Here is a 17,285-nt window from a genome sequence, read left to right on the forward strand (position 1 = left end):
CACACATATATATATATAGAGAGAGAGAGATACATAGATAGAGAGCAATGGAATCAGGGTTGTTAAAAACAACAGGCAACTGGGCTGCTGATTCTAGCTCACGCTACATGACTAGTCAATTAAACTTAGCATTCAGTATGACAGAAACAAGGAAAGCCTTTTAAACATTTTTAAAAACTTAATCATAAGCACTGTTTATTAAAGGTGATAAAGTAGAAGGAAATATACAATAATACATAAGAAATATAAGAATATTTCCAACAAGCTTTAAATCTAATTTGTGAACCTAGAACTTCTTTTCTCATCTACCCATTCCTTTTCTAATAGCTTTCTAGATGCACAATATGTTTTCATTCTTCATATTTGTCCATCTGCACATACACTGTTGGATCGATGATGAAAATATCTACTTATTCAGGGCCTGAAACAGCCAGGACCCTCCCCTCCCCTCCCCTCCCCTCCCTTCCCCTCCCCTCCCCTCGCCTTCCCTTCCCTTCCCTCCTTCCTTTCTTTCTTTCTTTCTTTTTTTTTTTTTGTTTCAGACATAGTCTCACTCTGTCACCCAGGGTGGAGTGCAGTGGCTCAATCTCAGCTCACCGCAACCTCCACATCCCAGGTTCAAGCAATTCTCCTGCCTCAGCCTCCCGAGTAGCTGGGACTACAGGCATGTGTCACCACACTCGGCTAATTTTTGTATTTTTAGTAGAGATGGGGTTTTACCATGTTGCCTATGGCTGGTCTCAAACTCCTGACCTCAGGCGATCCACCCGCCTCAGCTTCCCAAAGTGCTGGGATTACAGGTGTGAGCCACCATGCCGGGCCATGACCCTACTTTTTATCAACACCATCGCCCACCCTCCCACACCATGAAGACGTTTGACTTATCCAAGAGCAGCATCCTACCAAAATCCAGGTGTTTATAGAAAGATAGAAGAGTCAGAGGCAGCTTCCCACTTTGGGTAAAACTAAGTTCCTTGTATCAGATCACAACAATGTAAGTGACCTAATCAAAATAAATAGCAGGTGCTTACAGCTCAATACTAATCAAGCCTTCTTTCTCTTGATAAACCAACATAGCTTGGTGAATGTCTCTGCCCTGATCCTGATCCCTGGAGTATATGAAAGTGAGAATGATGAAGGTGGATTCCTGTAGATGGTAAATACCTCTTAGGAGATACTTGCTATAAAATCGTGAGTATAAGGCTAGAAAAAAAATGCATTTGTTTTAGAATTTTAAAAATCCTTACCAAGGAAACAAAGGTGTATTACCAAACAAGATTGATTACTCCATCCAATCACAAACAGATCATCAAAACAGTAGTAGTATTCTCATCTAGGAGTTTTAGGAAGTTGTTTGACATTTCAAGCAGAAAAAAATGAGTTGCAAATGAAGACATTCAGCTTTGGAAAACTATATTATTTAACCTACATTATCTTCTTTTCAAATTGTAGATGTTAAAAAAAATAGTTTGCATTCTAAATTGCCAATAAAATAGACTTCAAAAGTTGGCCACAGTGGTTCACATCTATAATCCCAGCACTTTGGGAGGCCAAGGTGGAAGGATTGCTTAAGGCTGGGAATTGGAGGCCAGTCTGGGTAACACAGTGATGCCCCATCTATGAAAAAAAAAATTTAATTAGCTAGGCATGGTGCCACATTCCTGTAGTCCCAGCCATACAGGAGGCTGAGTGAGGCAGGAGGATCACTTGAGCCCAGGAGTTTGAGGCTTCAGTGAGCTAGGATCCTGACACTGCACTCCAGCGTCAGTGACAGAATACAACCCCGTCTTGAAAAACACACACACACACAAACAGACCTCAAGTTATTTTGATGCTCTTTTTTTTCCCCCAAAAGGAATTTGCAATTTGAGTAGTAACTTAAGGGCACTCAGAGAGACACTGTCTTCTTTTTAGGCTCACAGAACTGGCTAGATTTTTATAAAAGGATTTCTGTTCTACTAGAGAAATCTTCCTAAGAGGATATTTAAGCATAAGTTGTGAAGCATGACCCGCCCCCACCACTCAAAATGCATTTGCCATAATAGTTAGCACAAAGCAAGGTCAGTGGAGATATATAAGAAAACAATTCTGGCTGGGAACTGCTATTCCAGTTTCCTGATTCCTAACAGAGGTATACCAAAAGTCAATGTTCTTGCAAAGTTAAGAAGTTCTTTTTTGTTTGTTTGTTTGTTTGTTTGTTTGAGGCAGAGTCTCGCTCTGTTGCCCAGGCTGGAGTGCAGTGGTGACATCTCAGCTCACTGCAACCTCCACCTCCCAGGTTCAAGCAATTCTCCTACCTCAGCCTCCCCAGGAGCTGGGATTACAGGCGCATGCCACCACACACAGCTAATTTTTAAAAAATCATTTTTAGTAGAGAAGGGGTTTTACCATGTTGGCCAGGCTGGTCTCCAACTCCTGACCTCAGGTGATCCACCTGCCTCAGCCTCCCAAATTGCTGGGGAAAATTAGAAGTTCAGACGAGTCTTGCTCTGTTGCCCAGGCTGGAGTGCAATGGTGCAATCTTGGCTCACTGCAACCTCTGCCTCCCTGGTTCAAGCGATTCTCCTGCCTCAGCCTCCCGAGTAGCTGGAATTACAGGCGCATGCCACCACGCCCAGGTGATTTTTGTATTTTTAGTAGAGATGGGGTTTCACCATGTTGGTCAGGCTGGTCTCGAATTCCTGACCTCGTGATCTGCCCAGCTCAGCCTCCCAAAATGCTGGGATTATAGGTGTGAGCCACTGTGCCCAGCCAAGGTAAGAAGTTCTTAACATTGGTTTGTTGGAGAGTTACACACAGAAAACACCACTGCTTAATAGGAACCTGGATGTTTAACTCTTGGCATTCATATTTAAAATTATCATAGAAGAGAGTCAAAGCACCAAATAAGAGGTTGGCTCATATCAGTTATTCTCACATTATGCTACCATAGAAGCTGCACCAATGTATCTGTTTTACCATGCAAAAGTATTTGCAGAAAGGTCTACCAAATGGTGAACAAAATGCGGCATAGCCATGGCATGGAATAAATCCTAGTTAAGCAATAAAAAGGAACCAACTACAGCTACATGTGACAACCTGAATAAACCTCAACAGCTATTCTAACTGAAAAAAGCCAGATGCTAAAGACTATATATTGTACGATTCCATCTGTATGAAATGTCCAGAAAAGGCAGATCTAAACAGACAAAATAGATTAGGGGTTGCTGGGGCTGGGGTAAGAACGGTGAGTGATTGCAAACAGGCCCCAGGGATATTTGGGGAATGATGAAGTGATCTAAAATTGGATTGTGCTAATGGTTGCACCATTCAGTAAATTTACCAAAAATCATTGAATTATACACTTGGATGTATTTTATGGTATGTAAATTATACCTCCAATAAAGCTTTTTTAAAAAAAAATACAGAAGGAAAAGTAAGAATAACTTGAATAAAGATGCTGTTTTCCTCTGGGGGTGGGGTGAATGTAACTGTAGTCTTATTTTTCTAATTTATAGGAAAAAATATAATTTAATGGATAGATGTTTTTCAGTTTTAAATTTTTTGTTCATTAATTTTTGTCTCTAGATTATTGTCATCCATACTACAAGTTTAGTTTTTATTTAATTTGCATGAAATTGATACTTAGCTATTTTAAGTTAATATTTCATAACATTAAGCCTGGAACACATGATTCCTAAGTTCTTCCCCAACCTAAACAAAAGAGAAAACCACTGAGCAGAATAACATGCAAGCTCCTCTATCATTTTTAGACTTGACTTTTTAAATCAGTGAAAGGAAATATGTGATTTGAAACTAATCTAGTTTTAGTCACTGTCGAAATTGAATGGATCATTTATGTGGTCTGTAAATCTATGGCCTTGACTTGGGGTGGCCTGGAGGACTCCAATGTAGTAAATTCCAGGAGGATAGAAATGTGTCTGATTTACACAGGGCTGTGTTTGGCCCAGACCCTACTTCCCCTCCCATCTGGTTCTCCCACACAGAACACAGTGTCCTCAATAAATATTGTTTCAATGAATACATGAATAGGCCCACAAATTTACAGATGTACCAAATAGTTTCTAAAACAATGTACACACACACACACACACTCTCTCTCTCTCTCTCTCTCTCTCTCTCTCATTTTCCAAACCTATATAAATGGCTGTTTTTGTGCTTAGTAAATGACATTCATTTAAACGTGTTAGTAAATTCATGGTAAAATTTTGCCATTATGAAATGTTTTCAATCAATAAATAGCCATATAATTTTGATGTAAATATCTCAGTTCTAAAGATGAGAAACTACTATTTTAAAAGACTTTTACATTCCCATCAAAATCTTCAGTTATTTCCCCTTTCAGTCATTATTCCAAGCAAATAAACACCTCATTTTTCAGGTTTGTCTAAATCTAGCTTACATTTTTTAGCTTTGGCCAAAATTTGGATTACAACTCACCTTCAATGTTGAGCATACTGTAAACAAATAAGCTAACAAATAACATGCCTATCAGTAATTCACAAAATAGCAACAGTATTAATTTCAAAAGTCTCTTTCTAGTTAGGACAAGGGATCAATTTATTTTGTAAATAACAAGAGGAAAGAACCTTCTTATGACGTCGGCCTTATGACGTTGGCCTGGGTCCCAAGAAGTGTAGTTGTTTTCATTCTTTCTGCAAACATTTGAGGAACCACACGGGGATACTCCCTGCCTTGGGCAGAAATTCCTCTGTGTCAGGGGCCTTCCCTCTCAAATTGGGAGTGGGGTGGGGAAGAGAGTGGGCAGCGGGGGAAAAGCATAACAACAGCACCAATTGTGTCTGCCAGGGTACCTGACACTCCTGCCCAGCTCACATATCAGGAAAACCAGACTTCAGTAGCTCTGAATATTTAATGGCATTAGGTAAAATCAAAAGAACAGATTATCTCCTCCCTATCACAAACACAGAATAATTCCTTTTTGTATTCTGACACTTCATCCGAACTATATACACCAAGAAAGTAAAAGAGGTTTTGATTCCTAAAATAAAACAATCAGAATATAATGGGGAGCAGGTACACCTTCAGTTATGTTCAGGGCTTGTTGCTTGTTCTGATCCTTATATTCAATTTTGTCTTCACTTCCAAAAAGGCTGAAAATTCACAGCTATGTTATCATCCAATCTAAAAACTACACTTGCACGGTCCCGTACTAACCTTCAGTAAGATAAGAGTGTTCCTTTGTCTAGCCGCCTAGCACTCTGTAACTTCCACATCTAAAATATCATGATGCTACTCAACATTAAGGAAAAGGTCAAGCAATGGGCTGCTCTTTTTACTACACCTGCGGCTGCAGAAGCCCGCACAAATGAATGAAGACAGCCACCTTCATTCATCTCTGCTCTTTAAAAAATGCGAGCGCAGTGACCTGTCAAAGCCACCACGCTGGAGTTCCTAGGTCAGGGCGTTTACCGCAGGACTTTTCTCCATAGCCTCTGAAATTAGCAGGCAGAAATCGCGGGGACCCCTGACAAACGGATTGTATAACAACAACCTAAATAAATAATCAGGTGTGCGCCGGACTAAGTAGGGGTTCCTCTCTGCGGAAAAGCAGCTCTTCCCAATGGGGAAGAAACTTCTCGCCCAGGAAATTCGAGCCCAGAACCGAGGTTTCCAGGGAGGATTACCTCTTCAACAAGGACCCTTTTACAGGAAATGTCCTTGATGCCAGGAACTCCACTGGGGAAGCCGCTGGAAAGGCACCTGGACACCCACACACATGGAGGGGATGCGGGGGCGCGCCGCAGGGACCGGGCCCGAAGGTGGCCAGACTCGCCTACCTTGTGGGGCGCCCAGCCGACGCGGGGTCCCGGTGCTGCTCCTCCCCTGGGCGATCGGACCTTGGGGCCAGGGTCGGCTGCCAGGGCCCTGCGAGTGCAGCCGCCACCGCCCGCAGGCTTGGCTCCGCCCCGCGGGGCGCGCCCAGGGCAGAGTCCGGCGCCGGTGAGGCCCCGGGGAGGAGTCGCGGCAGGACGCGTACGCCCAGCGCTGGAGAGCCAGGCTCTGCCCCTCACGCCCCTCGCTAGGGTGCTGTACAGGCGGGTGGGGGGAGGGGATCGGCCGCTGCTTTTCAAGAAGGTTCTATTTGCACCCTAAGTTTATAAACTTTTGTTTTTGTTTTTTAAATAATTTTTGATTTTATTGTTTTTAGTATAAATTTATGGAGTACAAGTGCAATTTTGTTGTTTTTTTAAAAAACTTTCTTTTGGAACTTAAAAAAAGTTGCAAAGATAGTAGAGAGAGTCGTCTATATACCCCTCAGTCGGTGTCTCCTAATGCCTACAGCTTCCATAACTGTGGCACATTTGTCAAAACTAAGAAATTCACATTGGGCCAGGTGCGGTGGCTCACGCCTTGGTAATCTCAGCATTTTGAGAGGCCAAGGCAGGCGGGAGGATCGCTTGAGCTCAGGAGTTCGAGACCAGCCTGGGCAACATAGCGAGACCTCATTTCTACTAAAAATATTTTTTAAAAGACATTAACATTGATCTGCCACTATTAACACTACTCCAGACTTGATGTAGCTGTCACTAGCTTTTTGGCTAACGCCTTTCCCTTTCAGGATCCCAGCCAGGATACCACACTGCATTTAGCATCCTGTGCCCTTTGTCTCCTCTAATCCATGACAGTTTCTCTGTCTTTTCTTGACTTTGACAGCTGTAAAGAATTCTAGTAAAGTATTGTGATGAAGTATTCTGGTAAGGTATAGTTTTGTGGGGGTACCTCGACACCCACTCATGTGGGTATTGTCTACTGTTTTTTTCTCATGATGAGACTGGGGGGAGGAAAGACTCAGAGATGAAGTGCCTTCCCCACTGCATCCTCTCAGGGACGATGGCACGATGGCCAGGTGACTTATCACTGGTGACTTGACCTTGATCCCATAGTTAAGGTTGTGTCTGCCAGGTTTCTCTACTGCAAAGCTGTTTTTCTCTTTCCATACACTCTACTCTGAATGGCATGAATGGCATGACTCAATTCAGCTGACACTCAAGATGAGGGCAAGATTAAACTCCATCCCAGAGCAGGGAGTATCTATATGTTATTATTTAGAATGATTCTGTAAGGAAGATTTGTTCCATCTCTCTTGTTTATTCAATCATTTATGTCAGTATTTGTTATGTCAGTATGGACCCATGTATATTTATTTTATACTTTGGGCTAGAATTCAATACTACATTATTAATTTTGTTGCTCAAATGGTTCCAGCTTTGACCACTGGGAACTCTTTCAGGTTGGCTCCTGTGTCTCTCTGAAAGTTCATAAACTTTTAGGATTGTGGGGAAAAAAAAAAGGTGTATTTCCTCCGCCCCCCCTCAACATCTAACAGATTGAGAAAACTGCAACCCAAATCCTTCAATATCCAAGGGCTTTTCAGAATCTTCCTGGGAATCCTATGATTACTGATTCCCACCACAGTTAGAGAGGAATGTTATTTTTTTTTTTTCCTAGCAGATTAACTTGTAGATTGTGACCCAATTGGAGAAGTGAAAGTTGATGGTTCTTAGGTAATTTTTTTGTTAACTAATCCTTGTGGTTCTAGTAAATAGATGTATGTATGTTTACAGACAAATCGTGTTCCAAAGATAGCCATGGATGTTTATTACAAGTTTCAGCATTGAAGAAACCCAGCTGTTGAGGATCATTTGTTACATTGCTTTGGTTTGCTCATGTTTGCATTTGCAAGTTGGTTCCATAAACACCACATTTCCTCCTTCTGAGCTTGGCTTTTGCTCAGCATTTGACACTGCCTGCTTTCTGAGACCTGTCCACCTCTCTTCCTGGCCTTGACCCTTCCTGGAGAAGGAAATCTACTTCTCCATTAGCTTGGGTTGAGCTGGGTAAACACAGGATGCGGTGAAGTACCAGTGAGTACTCCAGAACTGCAGAGCTAACTCATTTTCTATCTTTCAACTATTTTTAACAAAGTTAGAAAAGTAAGAGTTAAAGGAAAACATTTCATACCTAAGACTCACCATATCTGCTATGGACTGAATGATTTGTGTTCCCCCCTAAAAGTTTATATAATGAAATCCTAATCCCCAACGTGGTGGTGAAAGTGGGGTCTTCGGGAAGTAATTAGGTCATGAAGGTAGAGCCCTCATGAGTGGGTTTTAGTGCCCTTCTAAGAAGAGACAAAAGGCTGGGAATAGTGACTCATGCCTATAGTTCCATCTCTTTGGGAGGCCAAGGCAGGTGAATCGCTTGAGCCCAGGAGTTTGAAACCAGCCTGGGCAATATGGCAAAACCTCATCTCTACAAAATATACAAAAATTAGCTGAGCATGGTGGTGCACTCCTGTAGTCCCAGCTACTCAGGAGGCTGAGGCGAAAGGATCACTTCAGCCTGGGAGGTAGAGGCTGTAGTGAGCTGACAGTGTACCACTGCCCTCCAGCCTGGGTAACAGAGTGAGACTCTGTCTCAAATAAAGAGAGGGAGAGAGAGAGAAGAGATATCTGTCATGTGATAACACAGCAAGAAAGCAGCCATCTGCAAACCAGGAAGCAGGCCTCCACAGACACCACATCTCTGGGTGCCTTGATCTTGGACTGCCCAACCTCCAGAACTGTGAGAAATAAATAACTGTGGTTGAAGCCAGTTAATACCAGTCTATGTTATTTTGTTATAGCCCCTGGAACTAAGACAATATCCCAGAAGAAAGCGACAAGGTCAGAGATGAAGCTGAGATTCTTGTGTACGTTTCTGGGCGGGAGAGGAGAGACTTTAAGTGAAAGTGGTCATTCTAATTAGAATGAAATCATAGTTTTATTTCATAGTTCTGCAAATAGACTATTTTCTCAGTAACTTTAATAAAACTTTTGTGGAGGGGAGCAGAGTAAACTCAGGATTCATGAGAGTGTGGAGTTACAATATATTAGCAACCTCCACAGGGAAGCTCAGGAGAATCTATAAACTATTATTAATTTAAAACTCCAGTGGTGTTTCTCAGAGGTTGGATATTGGGGGATTAGGGATGAGGCAGGGATTGATGTTTATGGATTTCTCTTACAGCTACTGCCTTTGATTATTATTTTTATGACAGCATATGTACAAACCATTTAAAATTTTCCTAGAGCTGTATATCTTTACACTTTTAAGATTATCCACATTAAGAAAAAGTATTGCTATTACATAATTTTCGGAATGGCTTTGGTTGGGTCTGATAGAGATTAGGTCCCGGGGACTAAAGCATCCCCAAACCACCCAGAGTGCCCTCGTTGAATAAATCCGTTCTCCTACTCACTCCACTAAAAAGAGGAGGGATTGAGGGTGCAGAAGAAAGCAGCAGATGCAGTCTCCTCTCCTGAAGAACACTGTGAATTGTCACCCACGTTCAAAGAGGGTCTAATTGTAAATCTAACACCCTGCCTTGTGACATTCAGAGCCTGTGGCTTGTGGCATTTGGACCCAGGCTCATATTTGAAATCGCTCTTGTTTATTTCTGTTCAGGGATTATTTGCTGAAAGGGAAAGTTGTGTGTGTGTGTGCGCGCACACACGTGTGCGTGTACTTAGTGCAATTTTATTTTATTTAAAATTTGCATTTAAAATGTATTAAAATTATTTTATTTTAATATTATTTTAAATTTGCATTTAAAATACATGTGTGTGTCTATACACACATACATATATTTAGTGCAATTTTAAATGCAAATTTTACTGTCATTTCCAGCCTCTAACACGTGCGCATACACACACACAAACACACACCATTCTTTAAAACATTTCATTGTCTCCCCATGAGCTCTTATTAAAAGCCTAAACACTTCTCCAGGGAGAGAAGTTGCTTTGCTCTCCCCCATCCACCCCTCCTGCTTCATCTCTTGCCACATTGTTTTTCAACAAGGCTGGATGATTTGTAGTGTTCCAAACCAACTCTCGTTTCTTACCTTATTCCTTTTGTTGCTCTTGTCTCACCCCCACCCCCAACTCCTAGACTAGAATGTTCTTTCTCCTCCTCTTTGACCTGGAAACTCCTTCTCCATTTATTTCCTGTGTATAGGGAAACGTTCCCTGAGCTCCCCAGTTTATGTTGGGTGTCCCACTTAGGTCTTCCCATAAAGTGCTTGAGGCACTGCATTTGCTGTTTTATAAGTTTTCTGTGGGTACTGTAACAAATAACCACACTTGGCTGCTTACAACAGTGCACATTTTTTGTTATAAAGTTCTGTAGGTTAGAAGCCTGTCATGGTACCAGGGTAAAATAAACTATTCCTTACTGGAGTCTCTTGGGGAGAATTTGTTCCCTTGCATTTTCTAGCCTTTTCTAGAGGCTCTCTGCATTTCTCCACTTATAGCCCCTTTCTACACCTTCAAAACCAGCAGCACATGTCCTCCTGACTCTGTCCCACTTTCACTTATAAAGACCTTTGTGATGACATTAAGACCAACTAGATGACCCAAGATAATCTCCCCATCTCAACATCCTCAACTTGATCACATCTGCAAAGTCTCTTTTCCACATAAGATAACATATTCACAGGGGCTAAGGATTAGGACATGGACTTCTTTGCAGGAGGGCATTATTCTGCCTACCATAGTTTTGTACCTAGGTCAGGTCATAATTCAAACATTAATTAGGTTTTGTTATGAAATATTTCATTTTTAAGGCACAAAATCAAGAAGGCTTTGCAAAATTATAAAGGAGGCATGCTCCCATCACTTTTTTGGTGATGCCTTTCCCTGCTTTCCCTCCTGTCCTCTCACATTCCTGTGACGTCCCCATAACGCCACCCTAAGGGGTTCCTGGTATTGGATAATTTTCCAACTTCTTCCTCCTCTCCCATACCTACCGCCTTTCTACATTTTCTGTGACTTGTGGAAAGGAAAAGGGAATGCAAATGTGGAAGTTGCAGCATTGATCTTGACAAAATTTAACTGTATGAGCCCTCCAAGTCTTGCATTTTGAGCTCCAAGCTCACGATTTAGCTGACTGCTAGGGAAAACACTCTATACCTAATGTCTCTCGCAAGCTTAGGACAAAACTCCATCTATTCTGCACAGTTCACAGCTGATATGCTAAGTGTTGGGGTCCATTTTACAATTTTAAATTTCAAAGAGTTTGCACTTTAAATGGCTAGATCACATATAAGCACATAAAAATACCTATCCATGCAATTATATAATAAGCTACAATATTTTCAAGCAATAAATCATCACTGAGTATTAGTGAAGCTACTAAGTACTAGAAAACTAAGAGAAAGTACTGATTTTAGTTGGTGTTCTAGGGAAGGCCTCAAGAGGAGGTAGGCTTGGCATTGGTTTTTGAGAATAATTACCATGTTATTCTGGGAGAGCATGGAAGCCTTTAAAGGTCAGACACAGCCAAAGGCACCAGGGCAAGTCAATTTTCAGGCAGACTGGGAATCTACCAAGTAGACCAGTCCAGCCAAACCACAGGAGACTAGTGGGAGATAAAGCAGAGAAATGTAAGCAAGCCTTGAGAAACAAACAAGAAGTACAGGAAATACATTTTTCTTGTCCATCTCTGCTAAGAGAGGAAGGGAAAACAATATTGTAGGAACTGAAACTCTGGCTATTGAATGAGTTCATTAGTAAAATAATTAGCCAATGCTTATCAACAATATGTGAATGTCTACTTATGTATACAAGTCTGTCTACACAGGTGAATCTTTTTCTAGGACTCCTTTCACATAATAGGTACAGAAACCATGACATAACCAAGAGTGATATTCAGAATATGAACCTATCGGTTGAGCAGTAGTACTGACCAACCAGAAAAGCTGCCAGCCATAATAGACAACTGGCGAGTAGGAACCCAGGTGAACCAGCAAAAAGTCAGCCCTGGACATCATTATTTAAAATGATTGCTGCTCTCTTAGCAAAACTAAATATCCTGTTGGAAATGTCTTTTCAAAGCACCCAGTTGGAGTTATTAAGTTCTGATTTCTGTAGGCATTCTTTCTGTTGATGAGCTTGGTTCACTTTATCTTAACAGTAGCTGGAATAATAAATAACACTTCCCTCTGCACTGTGAGCCCTTACCCCTGAGTAAAGAACTCATAGAGAAAGGTGAAACAAGACAAGAGGGTTGAGATGTGCATTCTAAATTCAGGTATTTCTAAGTTTGGAGGAGGGATGTGAAGCCCAGGATAAGGCTGTAGGAAGGCTGTGTTAGACAAGCTTATTGATTATAGGTAGAGACTGAATTTCAAGACTACTTGTCTTTGCTATTTGTTCACTTTCTCTGCCTTTATTCTCATGCTACCTTCAGTTGGTAAAGACAATTTCAATATTAACTTCAGAAGCTCATGTTGGTTTGTTTTTATTTCTTCAGCTGGAATAGAAGAAAGCTTACTGTATTCCCAGGCCAAACAAGATGAATTTTCTTTGATTATCCACTGTTTGAACCTGTCCACACACTGTAGTGAAAACCATACCTTTACAAAATATTTTTGCTTGTTTTTAAAGGTATTCTCTAATAGTCTATGGGATTTTGGCTTTCTATCCTTTTTGCAACAGCAGTGTTTTGGGGGATAATTGTGGTTTGATACCTATATCCCTGTTTCTTGGTTTTTGTTTTTGTTTTTTCTTTGAAATATTATCTTTCTTGATGGTTTGGTAAGTGGTTGATATCAAAATAAAAATTTTGGGAAAAGAAAAATAATGTCTTCATGTTAGCTCAAGTAATAGTGGGGAGTTAATATTAGGGTCCACATGGCAATAAGGAAGATGGAGAGCTCATCCAGGTCCCAAAGCAAGAACCCTGCAATCGCTGAGATTCCTGGAGACTGGATAAGGATGGAAGAGCTTTAGGGTTTCAGCTAGAGTCTGGGGATTCTCCCTCGAAGCTTTACCCAGCATTAATGCGGCATCTCTGCTTCTATGAGGATGGCTCCTGGTGTCTTGCCACTATTGAGTGGCTTCCTTACCCCTTGTCCTGTGACTCTTCAGTGGCCATGAAGTGTTGTGTAAAGCAGTGTTCAGGTTAGCTAGTCGACCTTAGGCAAGTGACATAGCCTCTCTGGCTTCAGTTTCTGTAAAATGGGCTCTAACTTTCATGAATCCTTGCAACCTCAGCCATGGCGACACACTGCTAGATTATTTTTGTTCTTATCAGTTTGAATTTTTGAGAGTGAAGATTTGATTAAACCTGCTTTCTCCTCTTTAGGATGAGCTATTCATAGATCACCTCAAAAGTCACAGGCCATGCTTTGGCTTGGCTGCCGTTGGGATGGGTGCCCATCACTTTCTGTCTGTCTTCTAAGACTTAGTAACTACTTGGTGGTTGCCCATGACAGAGCAAATGCCTGCCTAGGGCCCTTCCCTCAACAGGGGCTATGGGTGTAACAAGCCCTTCAAATGAAAACTAGGGCTGGGGGGCACCATGACTGTGGCTTCAAGTACAAAGAAGATAAGGACTGAGGCCAAAGAATTCAACTTGGGGCCAGGTGGGGGCAGGTGGCATCTGGAGGAAGGATTAGAGTCTTTAAGAAAATCACTAAAGAAGGAAAGAAAGAACTCAAAAGTTAAAAAACTATAATTATCTCCCAGCTGTTAGGAACTGTATTTCTCTTTTTTAGCCATAGTTAAATGCTTTAAATTATTACCTAAGTAGGCAATAAATCTCTACATTTATATATCTGTGTATGTCAAACTTCACACACATGTAAACAGTGATTAATAAATTATTATACTAATAATGCACAAAACTAATAACATTAGAATTTGGGTATTTTTTTTTCTGTAAAATGACTAAGTTATTTTATGCCCAGATTGGTAGAGATTCTGCAGAATCTGTTAATTTTGGGTACTTTTTGATATAGTCTTTAGTCATTTTTAAAAATAGTCCTTGCTTTTGGAAACAAAACTATATTCCTTATCATTGTTAATGTTATTGCTGTATATTTTTATAATGTTGCCTACAAACCTGTTTTTCTTTAGATACTTATGACATTTGTAGGATGTTTATCTTCTTCAGCAATTATTTTTTATTTTGCCTTTCCTAAATTCAAGCCTCAAATTCAGAATAATAAAGCCATTAAGATGTCTTTCATACCTCAATTGTCTTTGGGTTTCTTAAAATGGACATTAGGTAACACTAAGATCTATTTGTTTACCCTACAAAAGAAAAGGCAATAGAAATAATTGGGTTTGAATAAAATTCCCTAAATTTTAAGTAAGATACTTGGTCTGTTTTCATACTGTTATAAAGATGCTACCTGAGACTGGGTAATTTATAAACAAAATAGGTTTAATTAACTCAGTTCTGCATGGCTGTGGAGGCCTCATGAAACTTATAATCATGTCAGAAGGTGAAGGGGAAGCAGGTACCTTCTTCACAAGGCGACAGGAGAGAGAGAGGGAGGAAGCACCAGACACTTATCAAACAGTCAGATCTCGTGAGAACTCACTCACTATCACAAAAACAGCATGAGGGAAACTGCCCTCATAATCTGATCACCTCTCACCGGGTCTCTCCCTCAACATGTGGGGATTACAATTCGGATTACAATTTGAAATGATATTTGGGTGGGGACACAGTCAAAGCACATCAGTAATTCAAAACTCTTTTGCAATGTCTTTTCTTTACCAAACTTATGATAATTCAAAATAACTGACAAAGCAAAATGAGAATTATCTTCCTAGATTAATTATACATAACACATATATACTAACAAACATCTTTTTATGATTATATACTTTTTAAGTTAAAAAACATCAAGCTCCTGTTGAAGCACAAAGACTGTAACAATAACTGTCTATGAAAAGATTTTTACTAAAGGAATTTAGACTCACAAATCATTTTCTCTTTTGTTCATGGAAAGTCTGAACAAGCACTGGAGGTACTGAGTCATTTACAAGGAATCATCAGAGGTCTTTTTGCTTCCGTTTTGTTTGTTTTTTTGTTTTTGTTTTGAGATGGAGTCTCGCTGTGTCACCCAGGCTGGAATGCAGTGGTGCAATCTCGGCTCACTGCAACTTCCACCTCCCAGGTTCAAGCGACTCTCCTGCCTCAGCCTCAGGCGCCACCACGCCCAGCTATTTTTTCTATTTTTAGTAGAGACGGGGGTTTCGCCATATTGGCCAGGCTGGTCTCGAACTTCTGAGCTCAAGTGATCTGCCTACCTCGGCCTCCCAAAATGCTGGGATTATAGGCCTGAGCCACCATACTCAGCCCTTTTTGCTTCTTTAAATCTCTCGTTAGGACCAGCAACCAAGGCATCTCCTCCTTATCTAAAAGCTATAGCAGCAATAGCAAAGTGTATTTGTTTTTTAAAATTTAACTCAGTGGATTTAGTCCTAGGGTTTCCACAAAATGTAACTGTATTAGGCCGTTCTTGTATTGCTATACAGAAACACCTGAGACTGGGTTATTTGTAAAGAAAAGAGGTTTAATTATCTTACGGTTCTGCAGGCTGTGCAGGAAGCATAGCAGCTTCTGCTTCTAGGGAGGCCTCAGGGAACTTACAATCATGGCGGAAGGAGAAGCAGACAAGTCATATGGTGAAAGCAGAAGCGAGAGAGAAGAAGGGAAGTGCCACACACTTTTAAACAACCAGATCTCATGAGTACTCTATCACTATCATGAGGACAGCATCGGGGATGGTGCCAAACCATTTATGAGAAATCCCCCCCCTCTAATCCAATCACCTCCCACTAGGCCCCATCTCCAATTTTAGGGATTACATTTCAACATGAGATTAGGGCGGGTCAAATATCCAAACTATTATCAGTAGTATTTCTCAGTTCTATACAGATTTTCTGATTGTCCTGCTGACTGCAAACACTCAGCCATTTATACAGCTCGTTTCTTGACCTCCTATGAAATATTGTTCATTTCTCTTCACACATCACTACTCGTTACTGCAACACTCTATAGCCAGTCTTTCTCTTCCCTCACCCTAAGGAGCAGGAACTTACCTCTCCTGCACAGAGAGACTTCTTTGAATAATGCTGATTAAATTTTGTTTGATGATGATGGTTTCTACTTAAAAAGAAAAAGTAAAAATTGCATACTAGGCTACATTAGCACAGATGTGTGTTTACCCTTAACATATTAGCTTCTCCCAGAAAGTAACATAGTTCAAACAGTTCGATTAATTGCCTTTGCCTGGGCATGCTGACTGACCAAAGATAAAATAGCAAGTATTTATACTAATAATAGGTATGATTTGAAGTTAATAGACTTTGAAATTTCCTGAGGCTATCCTTGCTACAATGGTCAGTTTGTTTTCTTCAGAGACATTCCAGCCTGCTTTGCAGAAATTATATAATTCTATTTAATGAGCCTGCCCACCTTAAGGGGTCAATGTCTTATTTCTGTGGTTCCCAGTAGAATCTGTGACCCTCTGTCACTACTTCTTAAGAAAGCATGATTTCTGCTCTAAGCTAGTTTAAATTTAAATTCATAACCCAAGGGAAAGTTTATGTTTTAGCAAACACTTTTTGCTGTGCCTTTATAAATTCTAGAGGTCACATTGAACGGTTCAGGACCAGGATAAAGGAGAAAAGCATCCAGGTCTCTAGAAAAGGCCAGCTGAACTTTGGGACATCCTGGGATGATAACTGAGGCCTCTGCTTCAGGGTCTAATAACAGAGTGGGTGGCCCTTTGGTTTCTCACACTCACTGGGTTGCAGCTGGCTGATGCATCTCTTTCAGATTCTTAAATGCTACTTTACAGCCCTTGTTACACCAGAGGTTTGAATAACTCATCCTGTAACAAAAAGAACAGAAGACATTAACCTTCCCCCAACTACAGGCAACATTCGCTGGACAACCTCCTGATCAGCAAAATCATAGCAATGGTAAAATGCTGTATATCCTAGACTAATGCCCTGTGGTCTAATATTGCTTACCTTTGGTCTAAAATGGGACTAAGAAAAGAAAAAGCAGCTCCTGAGAGTCAGGAGATAACATGGTATTATCAGCTGGCCTTGGCATTGCCAGGAGAAAGGAAAATAACAGGCCAACACCATTTATGAGCATATATAGGTAAATCTCTCAGACAAAATACTATCAAATTGATTCTAGCAAGATACAAAAGGGGTAATATAACCCAACCAAGGTGAACTTGTTCCGCGGTTGCAAAAACAGTTTAACTATTAAAAATCTATCAACATAATTCTTCACATTAAGAAAATAAAGAAATGAAATGAATCATTTCAAAAATGGAGAAAGGACTTTTGTTAAAACTGGATACCTGTTCATGATTAAAAGACAAACAAAACTTATAACAAATTAAAAAAGTGAACTTCCTTAATTCAGTAAAGAATATCCACAAAACTTCGTAGAAAATATCA

General features: G+C 40.6%; 1 protein-coding gene and 1 pseudogene across 19 annotated transcripts in view, besides 1 other annotated feature; one reads left to right on the top strand and one right to left on the bottom strand.

Annotated features, from left to right (window-relative positions):
• CCDC68 (coiled-coil domain containing 68) overlaps nucleotides 1-5,927 on the bottom strand; it is a 57,953-nt gene extending 52,026 nt beyond the window's left edge. For 9 of the 19 annotated variants that reach the window (XM_011526199.3, XM_047437870.1, XM_047437867.1 and 6 more), the window contains exon 1: nucleotides 5,802-5,927. The gene's annotated coding sequence lies outside the window, so the exon portion shown is untranslated. Of the gene's footprint in view, nucleotides 1-4,440; nucleotides 4,515-5,648 lie in introns of those variants that run through there. The other 10 variants (XM_017026011.2, XM_011526200.3, XM_047437868.1 and 7 more) reach the window with 2 other exon arrangements.
• MAP1LC3P (microtubule associated protein 1 light chain 3 pseudogene) lies at nucleotides 879-1,503 on the top strand (annotated as a pseudogene).
• Nucleotides 14,406-15,605: an enhancer, noted in NCBI's record as "P300/CBP strongly-dependent group 1 enhancer chr18:52635171-52636370 (GRCh37/hg19 assembly coordinates)". NCBI's record gives its function as "activates an origin of replication core promoter dependent on BRD2, BRD4, P300/CBP, MED14 and CDK7 cofactors, with strong dependence on P300/CBP, by STARR-seq in HCT116 cells {active_cell/tissue: HCT116}" and the evidence as "EXISTENCE:reporter gene assay evidence [ECO:0000049][PMID:35650434]".

The sequence above is a fragment of the Homo sapiens genome, chromosome 18 (assembly GCF_000001405.40).
Source record: "Homo sapiens chromosome 18, GRCh38.p14 Primary Assembly".
NCBI lineage: Eukaryota > Metazoa > Chordata > Mammalia > Primates > Hominidae > Homo > Homo sapiens.